Source organism: Homo sapiens, chromosome 1 (genome assembly GCF_000001405.40).
Source record: "Homo sapiens chromosome 1, GRCh38.p14 Primary Assembly".
NCBI lineage: Eukaryota > Metazoa > Chordata > Mammalia > Primates > Hominidae > Homo > Homo sapiens.
The window spans coordinates 245,119,871-245,134,695 of NC_000001.11; the positions used below are offsets into that span (position 1 = coordinate 245,119,871).

Here is a 14,825-nt window from a genome sequence, read left to right on the forward strand (position 1 = left end):
TGCAGTGAGCCTAGATCATGCAACTGCACTCCAGCCTGGGCAACAGAGCGAGACCCCGTCTCAAAAAAAAATAAAAAATAAGTAAATAAGTAAATAAATAAAAGAGCAAGGAACTGAACCCAGTGGATAATGCTGGGGCATCAGATAGAGGCTGTTGGCCATTTAGTTAAAATAAGATGGATGACCATAATCTGAAAGATGTAAAAAAAGAAACTGACCTAATTTATTTTTTTGAATGAATAAAATATATGTGGTACAAAATTCAAAAGGTATGAAGGCTCATAGAGTAAAAACTAATTTTTTTTTATAAATGTGTCCCAAAACCACTCGGATCCCTCTCCCCTGAGTGCACCGATTCCAGGGAATCCTTGTGTGAACAGGCAGGTAGCATCCTTATGCGCCCTTCACGCATCTCTACACATCACACTTTTCTCACTAAGCAACAGGTCCCATACGCTCAGTTCCTAATTGTATAAATACCCACCTCATCGATCTCAATGTCTGTGTAGTATTCTATTGCGTGAATGTGCCATATTTTATTTAACCAGTTCCCTTCTCAAGAATATGGAAGCAGTTTTCCATCTTTCAGAAACTCTGATTTATTTGTTTATTATTTGTATTTTTTTCCTGACAAAAATGCTGTTCAGAACAGAAATTCGAGTTTAAATTGCAGTGGCTGTTCTGGTTCATGTAGAACTAGACTTCAGCCTTTTCCTCATTTTCTTTTGCCTGGTAGACTTTTGCTTATCCTTTTATTTTCAGCATTTTTCAAACATTTTATTTTGGGTGTGTCTCTTGTATACCCAAGCAGTGATTGCAACATTTTCAGCAATTGCTATAATTTCCATTTTAGATACAGAGACACCTGTCACTTCGCACCTTAAATGAAGAGCTTCTGAGCTAATTTCTTCAATGGGAAGGCACCTCGGGGGTGATACATGAATAACGTGGAATAATGCAATTTGGGCAGATTACCAGTTAAAAGCAATGTTAGGTTTGGCCCACTTTGCCTTGCAGGCCGCTAAAGCCTCAAACAATATGACACCTGGCCTTTTACAAAGACCGGACAGTGGAGGTGTTGACAGGAATGGTGTTAAGCCAGGTTCATCTGGGTTTGTCAAGCATAGACTTCTACTTTTAAAATATTTAGGGCAAATACAGTTCAAAATTAATTTGGTCAACTACATTTTTCTTAAGTTTCTTTAGTTTTGAAACCTTTGTATATTTTTATTAATTATGAAACTCATACAAATGTTATGTAGGCAGAATTTTCAGGAAGTTTTATGCCCCTTTTTATAAACCTGTAACAAAGAAATAAGTGATATAATAGGGAAATACGGAGGTGTATTTGCAGTCTTTGTATTTTACAAAATTATCATTTGACCATAGATGTGATCGTTGCTGTTCCAAGTAACAGAAAGCTCAACCCATAAAAGGAATTAACTGGCTTATATGTAACGGAAGAGTCCAAAAGCAGACATAGCTTCAGATGCAGCTTGATCCAGGGCTCAGATGCCATGATCAGAATCCAATTCTTGCATCTGTTTCTTTGGGTTGGCTTCATTTTCAGGCAGCCCCCTTCCTCATATCCTCAAGATGGCAGAGACAGCCCATGGTCTTTCCCTTGCAGAGACAGATCACCAGGAAACAATACCTCTATCCCTAGCCATGAAACAGTCTTGAACTTTATTCTGACTTGATCAGCCAAGTCCCTGTTGGAACCATCACTGCCTAGCTTAGGCCTGAGACAGTGCTGCACCTCTACTACCAAAGGCCGGGCTGGCCTTCCCTAAAGTGTATGTGCTGCGTGGGGGAGAGGTACGGATCTGAACCAAAACGAGGGCTGTCCAGCGTCAGCAAATATCTCCCGCAGTCCCAGTGCCTCCAGCAGGAGGCAAAGCATCAACCCCTCCGTCTGGCTCCTCTACTGAAAATTCCCTCAGCAGCCTCACAGGCCTTAGGCTTGTCTTAGCTACTTCTTCATCTACTTTTTTGCTTTCTTAATTATTTTTCTTTTCTTTTTTCTTATTTTATTTTATTTTATTTTAGATGGAGTTTCGCTCCGTCGCCCAGGCTGAAGTGCAGTGGCGTGATCTTGGCTCGTTGCAACCTCCACCTCCCGGGTTCAAGAGATTCTCCTGCCTCAGCCTCCTGAGCAGCTGGGATGACAGGCACACACCACCACGCCTGGCTAATTTCTGTATTTTTAGTAGAGACGGGGTTTCACCATGGTCTGGTGACCTCCTGGTCTCGAACTCCTGACCTCAAGTGATCCTCCCGCCTCAGCCTCCCAAAGTTCTGGGATTACAGGCATGAGCCACCGCACCCGGCTGCTTCCTTAACTCTTGATCTCCTCTCTGTATCTTGCTTTGTCTAGCTGTTCTCTTCTCTCCATATTCATCCAAACATTTGCTTAGAAGTACCCAGAAGCATGGCGTTGAATGTGGTACACCTTGAACGAAGGGTGAAGAAACGAGGCAGAGTGACTTAGTAGCAAGTGACAGCACACAGTTTAAATTTTAATATTAGCCCATTTACAAACAACAGCTTATATAATAGTCATTCACATACCTCAACACTCACCATCCCCTCCCCACTTTTTTTCTGGAGACAGGGTTTCACTGTCACCCCAGCTGGAATGCAGGTGGCATGATCACAGCTCACTGTAGCATCGACCTCCTGGACTCAAGGGGTCCTCGCGCCTCAGCCTCCTGAGTAGCTGGGACCACAGGTGCATGCCACCACGCCCAGCTAATGTTTTTTTTTATTTTTTGTAGAGACAGGGTCTGGCTATGTTGCTTAGGCTGGTCTCAAACTCCTGGGTTCAAGCGATCCTGCCACCTCAGCCTCCCAAAGTGTTAGGATTACAGATGTGAGCCACTGTGCCCAGCCAACATTCACCCCATTCAAGTGTGCAATTCAATGGATTCTAGTATCTTCACAGTGCTGTGCAACTATCACTCCTATCTACTTACAAAGCATTTCCATCATCTTAAAAAGAATCCCCATGTCCAATAGCAGTTCCCCTTCCCCCACCGTCATCCTCGGGCAACCGCTAATCTTCCTGTGTGTCTGTGGATTTGCCTCTTCAGGGCATTTCACATAAACACAATCATACAATATGTGGCCTTCTGTGTCTGGCTTCTTTCATTTAGTGTAAGGCTTTTGAGGTTCATCCATGTTGTAATGTATATCCTTAGTTCATTCTTTTTTGTTAAGCTCACAAATAAAAAGCCTCACTTTTTATTTGAGGCAAGGAGACTGGCTACAGGGATTACAGTTCCAGCAGTCAAAACGCAACTCCAAGTGGCACTATTTGGACCGTAGGTTTTGCTTCATTTTGGCTGGAAAAGGGTATTCAGGATGTACTTCTCCCAGCCGGACAAGAAAAAGGGCAAAGAAAACTGGAAGAGACGTCTCGTCTACACAAACTGCTCTTTGGACACAGCATCAACCTGACCACACCCGTGCTGGCCAGTCTGCAGGTTGCTGACCCGCCGTTAAGGGACACAGGCCATACTACACTTGCTAGAAAAACTGAGGCAGGAAAAAGAGGTGCAAGGCACTGGGGGAAGAGCAGGTACCTATAGCTTTAAAGCTCAGTGTTGAAGGGGTAATCCTTGCAGGAGGCACAGCTCACCAAGACACAGACCCTCCCGTTCCTGTTGTAGCTGACTACAGTGGTCACATCAGGCTGCTCAGTTGAAAGTCGAAGTCCTCCAAGTTTTCAGCAGTGCGTTCCAGCATCACCACCGAAATGATGATAGGAATTACCACCAAATTCCTATGCATGGGAAACCAGATCAGAACCTGGGCTGCGTTTTTATTTGTTTATTTTTTTTACTGTGCTTGGCTGTGATTGCTTTGGTGCTGGGATCCCCCAGACCTGTCACGAGAGCTGAGGGGACTACAGGCAGTCACCACCTTGCCTTTGGATTGGCAGCCCTGGATTAACTTCTCCTGAGGTGGGTGCAGGTGGCACTCACTGTGGTTAACCACTGTTTTTAAGCCAGGTTTCTTTTTTTCTGTCTGTCATATATATATATATATATTTAGAGACAGGGTCTCACTCTATCACTCAGGCCTGGAGTGTAGTGGCATGATCATAACTCACTGCAGCCTCGAGTTCCTGGGCTCAAGTGATCCTCCCGCCTTGGCCTCCCAAAGTGCTGGGATTACAGGCTGAGACACCACACCTGGTCTTAAGCCAGGTTTCTTTACCATCTCTTGGAGATGGCTGCAGTTGGAGATTCCAAAAGCTTTCAGAGCCCTTCATCCACCAGCTCCTCCATGTGGCCACCCATGTGACATGAAGTTGGTGTCACTAGGTACCACGTTGTCTGTCCCATCCAACAGGAAAAATAGCCTGTTGGCCAGTGAATAAGGTAGGAATCCAGGTGGTCCCCTGAGGGTCTTCTGACAGGCTCCTTTATCAGGCTCTTCTCATGGTATGAGCACCGCAGCTTGCTGACAGTGGCAACGTTCTCAAGCTTCACAGACTCCGTCACTTGGCCTGGAGGGGAATTCTAGGTGTCCAGCCCCAGGACAGGCATTTTGGCACCATGATTGAGCACGATATGGTGAGCCATCCTCACAGGATTAAGAAGAATTCTGGACAGAAATATAGTTGTAAGTAAGCATCAGTCAGCCTGCACTTTGACCCACTTCCTTGTAACCAACAGTGACGTAGCACTAGGTAACATTTGCATCCCCGTTGTTCCTATAGATACAATTTCTGACCTTAGAATCACAAGGCTTTTGTTTAAAATAGATGGGATCTCTGACATTAGAATCATAAGATTTTTGTTTAAGACTTGCTTAAGATGTTTTTCAGATCCTGAATTCCAGCAAAACAGCCGACACCAACCAGTTTGAAGACCCCCACAGAGGAATGTGATCAGCATGAAAATACAGCTTCGTCTCCCTCTCCCATGACTCCACCCTGCACACTTCGACCAATCAACCATCTCCACACTCCAGTCTCCACTCCCAAACCCTTAAAAACCCCAGCCCCAAACTCCTCAGGGAGATGGATTTGACGTTTCCTCCCATTTCCTCCTTCGGTGGCCCTACGATGAAACCTCTTTCTCTGCTACAACCCTATGCCTCGGCGTATTCACTTTCTGGTCCCATCCAGCGATGGACCCATCGTGGTTACCGTGGCTGGCCAAGCCTGCTGTGCTTCACAGACCCCACTCAGGATCACACCACTTCGTTCCACTGTTTGGAGATGCCATGTTTGCTTATCCCTTCATCAGCTGATGAGCATTTGTGCTGTTTTCACTTTTTGGCTATTACGAAAATGTTGCTACGAGCATCCATGATATTCGCCCATTTAAAAAAGTGTTTTTCACCATTACTGCTGTGGGAAATTTCTCCCTGGCTCTGTCCTTTCTTTGTAGCCCAGCCTTCCCCCAGGTTTTGGCTCTCCCTCTCTGGCTCAATGTCAGCTCCTTGTCTCACCTCCTAGAGCAATTCCACTCTCCCACCTCCTGCTGCGGCATTTCCAAAGCCTCTGCTTAGCAAGGGACCACCCATTCTGCACCTCTCCCCTTAGGGCTGCAAGCACCTGCACAAACTTGGTGGTTATCCTATGCCTCAACTCAATCAAATTCTCTCAGTTTTCCATCAGCAATCTTTTTAAGCCAAAGGGAAGGCAAGGACTTGATCTTCACATCACATGAATCATGACACCTGCCTTAGAAGGCAGAAGCAACTGTAGTTGGAATAGCAATTGTTTTTCAACATATGGGATGATATCAAGGCTCTTTCCTCCCCATATGTCCTGCCCTGTTAGTGGCTGGGGCTGAGGGTTTTCCCAGGAAGCCAGATTGTCCTCACAAGTTCCTCAGGACCCTAGGGCTTCCACAGATAGTAGGACTGTTATCAGAAAGAAGTCTCGATCCAGACGCCGAGAGAGGGTTCTTGGATATCGCCCAAGAAAGAATTCAGGGGGAGTCCATAGAGTGAAGTGAAAGCAAGTTTGTTAAGAAAACAAAGGAGTAAAGAATGGCTACTCCATAGGCAGAGCAGCTCCGAGGGCTGCTGGTTGCCCATTTTTTTTTTTTTTTCTTTGAGATGGAGTCTGGCTCTGTCGCCCAGGCTGGAGTGCGGTGGCACAATCTCGGCTCACTGCAAGCTCCGCCTCCCGGGTTCACGCCATTCTCCTGCCTCAGCCTCCCGAGTAGCTGGGACTACAGGCGCCCGCCACCATGCCCGGCTAATTTTTTGTATTTTTAGTAGAGATGAGGTTTCACATGTTAGCCAGGATGGTCTCGATCTCCTGACCTCGTGATCCACCCGCCTCGGCCTCCCAAAGTGCTGGGATGACAGGCGTGACTCGTGATCCACCCGCCTCGGCCTCCCAAAGTGCTGGGATTACAGGCGTGAGTCACCACGCCGGGCCGGTTGCCCATTTTTATGATTATTTCTTGATTATATGCTAAACAAGGGCTGGATTATTCATGAGGGAAAGGGGTGGGCAATTCCTGGAACGGAGGGTTCCTCCCCCTTTTAGACCGTGTAGGATAACTTCTTGACATTGCCCTGGCATTTGTAAACTGTCATGGCGCAGGTGGGAGTGTCTCTTAGCATGCTAATGCATTATAATTAGCATATAATGAGCAGTGAGGTCGACCAGAGGCCACTCTCATCACCATTTTGGGTTTGGTGGGTTTTGGCCACTTCTCTACTGCAACCTGTTTTATCAGTAAGGTCTTTATGACCTGTATCTTGTGGTGACCTCCTGTCTCATCCTGTGACTTAGAATGCCTAACAGGCTGGGGACGCAGCCCAGCAGATCTCAGCCTCATTTTACTCAGCCCCTCATCACTCTGATTCAAATGCCTCTGACATGACCACGCAGATTTGAGAAACAGGCCCTCAGCCAACCAGACTCTGGCTCTACGACACACTTAATACTGTGAAAAGAAGATTACGGGTCATAGTCACAAATACCAGGGGTGCAAAACTTCAGATTAGAAGACACTTGTCAGACTCAGAGGCTCATCCAACTCCACGGAGATCATTATCACCACAAGTTCTTCAGACAGGTGTGGAGGTTTTCTAAGGGATATTTTTATTTTCTGGATTGCAATTTTGTTTAGGAAGAGATGAAAGTGAGGATCAACTACTTTGAGGATTGTACAACTTTGTAAATTGCACAAATATGACGGCATATTTATATCTGCCTGCATTTGTGAAAACAAACTTGTCAAGGAGCTTATTTCTGGAAAGGGTCAATGATTCTAGAAAAAAAAAAAAGATAAATATGAGACCCTTCAGTAAAAAGAAACTTACTCTAGGGAAGTTTTTTGTTTTTTTAAAGAAGCAGTATTCACTCGTGTTTTTAAAAAGGAACATGGATTTCAACAATAATATAATGAGTAAAGCATCTGTTTCATTTATGAAATTAGACCTATTAAAGAACAGAATCATTGAGGGTTAAGGTAGGATGAGAGTGACAGGGAAAGAAAATGGAAGGAAGGCTAGGCACGGTGGCTCACGCCTGTAAGCACAGCACTTTGGGAGGCCGAGGCGGGCAGATCACCTGAGGTCCAGAGTTCGAGACCAGCCTGGCCAACATGTTGAAACCCCATCTCTACTAAAAATACAATATTTAGCTGGGCATGGTGGCAGGTGCCAGTAATCCCAGCTACTCAGAAGGCTGAGGCAGGAGAATCGCTTGAACCCAGGAGGCAGAAGTTGCAGTGAGCCGAGATCACTCCACTGCACTCCAGCCTGGGCAACAAGAGCATACCTCCATCTAGGAAAAAAAAAAAAAAAGAAAAGAAAAAGAAAATGGAGAGGAAAACAAAGACCAAGGCGCACCCAGGCCTTTTGAAAGTGAGGCTGTGACCCCCGTGCAAGCAAGAGCCCTGTGTGTGGCTCCCACGGTGCCTGCCACATACTAGCTGCTCAATAAATGGCTGTGAAATAAATGCTGATCACAAAGGACAGAATGGGAAAGATTAAGAGAGAGAAAAGGAAGTGTGGAGGAGTACAAGCAGAAATAACAGCCTGGGCACAGTGGCTCATGCCTGTAATCCCAGCACTTTGGGAGGCTGAGGTGAAAAGATCATTGAGGCCAGGAGTTTGAGACCAGCCTGGGTAACAAAGCAAGACCTTGTCTCTACCAAAAAGTCAAAAAAAAAAAAAAAAATTAGCCAGGGTAGTGACACACCTGTAGCCTGTACTTGGGAGGATGAGGTGGGAGGATCACTTGAGCCCAGGAGTTCGAGGCTGCAGTGAGCTATGATCGCACCACTGCACTCCAGCTTTGGGCTAAAGAGCAAGACCACATCTTGAAAATAAAATAAAAAATAAAAAAGAGAAATAATAACCAATTCCACTAACGTAAGGCTTTTCCACTTCCAAAACCCTCGCCATGACTTGATTCTTATAGTCAATCCACAGGGTAAGAAAGAGCATTTGTACAGAGAAAGCAATAACATTTATGGTGGAGAAGTGAAGTCTGTCACCAGAGGCCACACTCCTGGGAGGTGGTAGGGCCAGTTCTAGACGAGGACTTCCATCTGCCAGCCCCATCCTGACTGCATGACTCCACGCTGCTTCTGTCTTCTGGAGGCACAGCCTCAAAATCGGGCCAGTGTTGAGGGGCCTGGGGACAGGGCTGGAGATGGGGCTCTGGGAGGCATCAGCACAGGGAAGATTTTCGGAACCACGAGACTGGTGAGACCACCAATGAGCGGCGGGGAGCGCAGATGGAGAAGAGGGGCCGGAGGACCGAGCCCTGGGTGCCCATCCTTCAGAGGGTACAGAGAAGGGACGGATCCGAGAAGGTGACTCGGTGGAAGGAACCAGAGGGAGGGAGTGGGGAGTCCTGGGAGCCGCGTGGAGAGTGCATCAGGGAGGGAAGGGGGCCACCCTGCCAGAATATAACAGTGCCTGATACCTAGTGAGCGCTCCAGAAATAAGAGCCCGTTCCTATTTTTATTAATGTCTTGTTGAGAGGAGGAGCGAGCAGTGAGTACGGTAAGAGCTAAATTGTCATGCACCACAGCACAGAGTAAAGAGCTGATGTCTCAAATGGATAAATCAAGAAACAGCAGAGCAAGCGCATTTAGAAAAGCAGAGGTGAATACCTCAAAAACCTCAAAATGGTCACCTCAGAGGGGAGGAGGACAGGTGTGGAGGGGAGGGGCAGCCAGGACTGGGGATTTTAAAAAATAAGCCTTTTGATATTATTTGCACATGTATTTCTTTGATAAAGATTTTTTTTTTAATTTTTAAATTTTTGTAGAGATGGGCCCTCACTCTGTCACCCAGGCTGGAGTGCAGTGGCATGATCATAGCTCATCGCAGCCTCGACCTCCTGGGCTCAAGTGATTCTCCCGCCTCGGCCTCCCAAAGTGCTGGGATTACAGGCATGAGCCACGCCCCCAGCCTGATAAAAAAATATAAGCTTCAAAGGACACAAAAAGAGGGCTTTTGCACACGCAGTTGTCTAAGGTGATTGGTGAATGGTTTTGGGGGGCTGATTGCAGAGCCCACCAGGCGGCAGGGCTGGCGTGCACATTCTCCAGGACCCCACGTTCACACTCACTGTCCTGGACATCTTCCCTGCACTGCTAGGACACCTCGTTCTTTATTCACTAAGCTCTTTCCTGGCTCAGTGAGAGAACATTCAGAGGCCCCAGCAGCAGAGGAATAACAGGCTCCAGTGGAGAAGGGACCGGGAAGGAAGTAATTGGAAATCTCTCTTCCTCCCAGGTTCTATCTCCTCTGCTCACTCCCCACTGCTGAGGGTCGGTACAAAGGGGGGTGACACACTCCCACCCCATCCTTGTCACACTGTGATCTCCCCCAACGCATCAGTGCCTGCACCTTCCAGGCTCCGGAAAGACGATGTGCCCTTTCTGCTTTGGAAAATCACAGTTCTCAGAAGACCAACAGAAATGCATGTAGAAAATGATGGAAATTACTGGGTATCAGAGGACACGATGACCTGAATGAGTAAGAAGATGGTGGGGGCCGGGGGGTAGGGCGGAAGCCAGCTAGGACCTGATAGTGACAAATGCATAACTATTTGCTTATTTTCAGTGCCTTTTGCTTCAAATGAGAGGTTTCTGCTCTCCCACGGTGAAGTGTGAGGCATAAATCCTGCTTCATTATGGGGGACTTCCAGGGGGGTGGCACGGAGCCCAGGAGTCCCTGTGGCATGATGAGGGGGAAGTTGGGAAAGAGAAGCAGAAAGAAAATGGAAGGGGGCCAAACGCAGGAGGTGTGAGGAGGAAAGCCAAGGAAGACGAGGGGAGAGGGAATGATAAAAAGGAGGGAGAAGCCGGGCGTGGGGGCTCACATCTGTAATCCTGGCACTTCAGAAGGCTGATGCAGGAGGACTGCTTGAGCCCAGAAGTTTGAGACCAGCATGGGCAACATGGTGAAACCCCGTCTTTACAAAAAAAAAAAAATATATATATATATATATATATGTGTGTGTGTGTGTGTGTGTGTGTATGTGTGTGTATATATATGTGTGTGTGTGTGTATATATATATATATATATAAATTAGCTGGGCAGGGTGGCATGCACCTGCAGTTCAAGCTACTTGGGAGGCTGAGGGGGAGGGTCACTTAAGCCCAGGAGGTCAAGGCTGAGTGAGCCATGATCACGCCACTGCACCTCTAGGCTGAGCAACAGAGTGAAACCCTGCCTCAAAACAAAACAAAACAAAACAAAACAAACAAAAAAAAGGAATGAGAGGTAGGGTCTAATAGGTAGGAGGCTGGCCCAGGAACAAGTCGGGGTGTTATTCTGTGCACTGATGCAATGGGTTAACGCACTAGTTTCCTAAGCCCGTCAGGGTGAGTTGCCACAAACGTGATGGCTCAAAACAGAAATCCAAAATCCAGGTGGCAGCAGGGCCACGCTCTCCCCCTAGGTCCTAGGGGAGGATCGCCCTCGCCCCTGCCTCTCCAGCTACTGCTGGCCCCAGGCGTTCTTCGTCTTGCCGCTGCGTCACTCCCGTCCCTGCCTCTCTGCCTTCACAGGACCTCTTCTCCCGCGCTTCTCCACAGTGTCTGTGTGTCTCCAATCTCCCTCTTCTTTCTCTTATAAGGACATTAGTCACTGGATCTAGGGTCCACCCTAAGTCCAGGATGATCTTATCTCAAGATCCTTAACTTAATTTCATCTACAAAACCCTATTTCCAAATAAGATCACATTCACAGGTACAGGGGGCCATGGACTGAATGTGTCCCCCCAGAATTCCTATGCTGAAATCCTAATCCCTGTGTGACAGTATTTGGAGGCGGGGCCTTTGGGAGGTGATTACGCTGTGAGAGTGGAGCCGTCATGAATGGGATCAGCGCCTTTATGAGAAGAGGCTGGAGACCGACCATGTGAGGATACGGGGGGAGGGTAGTGCTCTTGAGCCCAGAAGCAGGTCCTCGCCAGAACTGACCATGCTAGCACCTTGATCTTGGATTTGCAGCCTCCAGACGGTGAGAGACGACTGTCTGCTGTTTAAGCCACCCAGTCTTGGCATTTCTTATAACAGCCCTAAGTGATAACTGATTTGGGTGCCCCTATTCAACCCTTGTTTTGACTTAGATGACATTCTCTACAGGGAAAATTTCTTAGGACTATTGGACAAAATATAAAGTTCTTTTCTTGCTTTTTGGTTTTGCAAAAAAAAGAAAGAAAGATGAATGGGTCAATGAGAACATCTGAAAAGTCTGGAGTATCACTGAGGAAATAGAGGGCGATTGAGAATCCGAAAGTGAATGGAAACCTACAACAGAAGTGAGATATGCTTTTCTGTTGTCACCTCATCGGACTGTGTGTGATGACACAAATGCCAATAGCCGGCAAACTGCGAGGAACCGAACATGATCCTGACAGTCTCAGGAGTGCCCCCGCTGAATGATTTTTAAGTTGAATATCTGACTAAAATAAATAATTGTCTCATTTCTTTGTTGATTTAACCAACTCTGAAGCCTAAAAGACACGTGTGAGGCCCTGTGAGGGGAACTAATAGGAATGTGGGCGAATGGCGTCCTTGGAGAGTTCATGGTCTGATAGGAGAGAAAGATTTTATAGGAAATCACAGCCACAAGAAAGCAGCCCACACCCCACACGAGATGGCTGTGGGGGTTTGGGGAAGAAGATAGTGCACCCAGTTGCAGATATCAGAGAGGGCTTCCTGGAGGAGGTAGCACTGAAGCTGGGCATGGTAGGAGGAAGGATCTGAATGAATATGTGGTGAGAGGAGGAAGGCCATTGTGGGCGAAGGCAAAACAGAGGTGGGAGGGGGCGAGCTCGTCAGGGAGTAATTAGTCGTTCAGTTTGGTTGGACCTTAGAGTCTGTGGACAAGAGTAGCGGAGGTGAAGCATAGTGGGGTTATTCCGGGGCTGGCTCCAGGACGGCCTTGAAGGCCACGCAGAGTTGATGCCGCAGACCCATGATTCCGAGGTTGGGAGAGAAGGTCCAGCTCACAGAGAAGCTCCAGGGGCTGGAGATAGTCGGAGAGAGCTCCTCCAAAACGCCTGATGTGCCCCGGGATGTCCCTCCTACCATGGAACTGATGCTCTAGACAATGAGATCCGCTAACACGCTCTGAGCAGGGAATGGCACCGCCAAGCTGTGCTCCAGGAAAGATGCATCTGTAGCTCCTTTTAAGACTTAACAGGAGGCCAGGCATGGTGGCTCATGCCTGGAATCCCAGCACTTTGGGAGGCCAAGGCGGGCGGGTCACCTGAGGTCAGGAGTTCGAGACCAGCCTGACCAATATGGCGAAACCCTGTTTCTGCTAAAAATACAAAAATTAGCCGGGTGCGGTGGTGCACACCTGTAATCCCAGCTACTCGGGAGGCTGAGGCAGGAGAATCGCTTGAACCCGGGAGGCAGAGCTTGCAGCAAGCTGAGATCACGCCACTGCACTCTCCAGCCTTGGTGACAGAGCAAGACTCCATCTCAAAAACAAACAAACAAACAAGAAAACCACTTAATGGGGATGGGACAAATTTCATGGGGCACTACTGCCATCTCCCCAGTTATGTGGAACTGAGGGCTGACCAAGCGGGGTGGCTGTGGGAAGAGGAAAGAAGCAAGCCGTGGGCTCTGAGCGCTTGCTCGTGAAGCAGGGACTGAGCTGTCTGGTGCCTGTGGGGCCGGGCACGGGGAGAAGCTTTTCTGGCTGGACGTTCACTCCTTGTTTGGGTTAAGATAATGTGTGTGCGATTGTCTCAGCCTCTCATCTCACAGGAGTTCCTAGTGCACTGCTGATCCCGAGGGTGCGCAGATCCGCCCTTGAGACACTCATCTGTTCTCTGATGCTCCTGCCTCATCTGTTCTCTGTTTTCCCTACACTGGCAGAGGGGAGGATGAATATCCACGGCCCCTCATTTCCTTCATTTGGATGACGGAAAGATGAAAATGTTTCAGCATCTCTTGTTGACATGTGAGCTGCAGTAAGGCCTGAAGAATCCTCTGCCCACCGAGAGCTGGGGCAGTGTGTGGGGTGTGGCAGAGACAGAAGAGACGGGAAGCTGGACATCCTGTGGACTCGGGTATCAGCTCACCTTCTACCAAGCATTCCATTCCTCTGCTCAGGCCCCAAGTCTCAGAATCATCCTTGCCTCCCTTCTTTCTCCCTCTCCCTCCTCATCCAATCCGCCAAATCCTACCTTCACAATCTGGCCAGTCAGCATGGGTGAACCTTGAGGACATTATGGTAAGGGAATAAGGCAGTTCCCAAAGGACCAACACTGTGATTCCACTTATCTCAAGTACCTCAGGGAGTCAGATTCCTAGAGACAGAGAGTGGAATGTGGATGCCAGGGGCTCTGGGGAGGGGAAAATGGGGGGTTACTGCTCAATGGGTACAAAGTTTCAGTTCTGCAAGATGAAATGAGCTCTGGAGATGGATGGGGGTGATGGGTGCACGACAATGTGAATGTATGTAATACCACTCAGTGTACACTCCAAAACGCTGAAGATGCTTTTATGTTGTATGCATTTTTATAATAAATAAATTATACAATAAAGACCACCGACTTCAAGTTATGATCTCTCATTGGACAAGAGTGACACAGGAGAAGCGTGGACAAAGTCCCCCACTACCACAAATTATGCAGTTGAGTTTCCTGCATTTGGAGAAATGGCAGGGGTCAGCCTACCTGGAGTGCAGTGGGTGAGCCTCACTCTGGGAAAACCATCTTCATGATCATGGCACCTTCCCTGCCAGGGAAGTATGTTATATGGACTTTATCACAATTTTAAAAATACACCCACATATAGATTTATCTCTATCATCTATATCTATCTATATCATCGATATCTATCATCGATATCTACCTATATCTACACCTAGATCTATATCATCTATCTCCAGTGCTCCTCCTCCCATGGCTACTGGCCTGGTCCAAGCTGCCTTTATTTGTCATCTAGATGATTGCAATGACATCCTTCCTGGTCTTTGCCTCTGTAACTATGTTCCCAACGTGTAGTCACAGTGATCTGAATAAAACATAAAACAGACGTGTCGCTGTTCTGCTCTGAAGCCTCCATTTGGCCTCTTATCTTTCTTGGAGTAAAAGCCAAAGGGCTTACCACGGCCCCCATGGGATGTCCAGGCTGGCTGTCAGTATCCCTCTGCCATCACCTCGTGCTGCTCTCCCCTGACTTGGCAGCCGCAGAGGCCCGTTGACTTTGCTGTTCCTCACGTAGACCACGCCGAGCGCGCTCCTGCCTCGGGGCCTTTGTTGCCGGCATCCGCTCTGCTCTAAATGCCCTTCCACACAGCCTCCTGCCCAGGGCTCTCACTTCCTGCAGGTCCCAGCCCAGATCTCCTGTTAGCA

At 47.7% G+C, this 14,825-nt stretch overlaps 1 protein-coding gene, 1 long non-coding RNA gene and 1 pseudogene across 7 annotated transcripts in view; 2 read left to right on the forward strand and 1 right to left on the reverse strand.

The window, feature by feature from the left end:
• The window catches only part of DRC8 (dynein regulatory complex subunit 8), a 155,548-nt gene extending 150,189 nt beyond the window's left edge, over positions 1 to 5,359 (forward strand). For 2 of the 6 annotated variants that reach the window (NR_026587.1, NM_001143943.1), the window contains one exon: positions 2,050 to 5,358. Coding sequence is in view for 5 of the 6 variants with exons in the window: in NM_001143943.1 (NP_001137415.1) it covers positions 2,050 to 2,078 (29 nt within the window). In the remaining variant the exon portion in view is untranslated. Of the gene's footprint in view, positions 1 to 2,049 lie in introns of all 6 variants that reach the window. The other 4 variants (XM_047432067.1, XM_047432068.1, XM_017002539.2 and 1 more) reach the window with 4 other exon arrangements.
• Positions 9,342 to 11,937, forward strand: LOC124904572 (uncharacterized). Its single transcript, XR_007066991.1, has 2 exons — positions 9,342 to 9,975; positions 11,663 to 11,937. It is a non-coding gene; the product is annotated as an uncharacterized LOC124904572 (long non-coding RNA).
• RNU1-132P (RNA, U1 small nuclear 132, pseudogene) lies at positions 14,058 to 14,220 on the reverse strand (annotated as a pseudogene).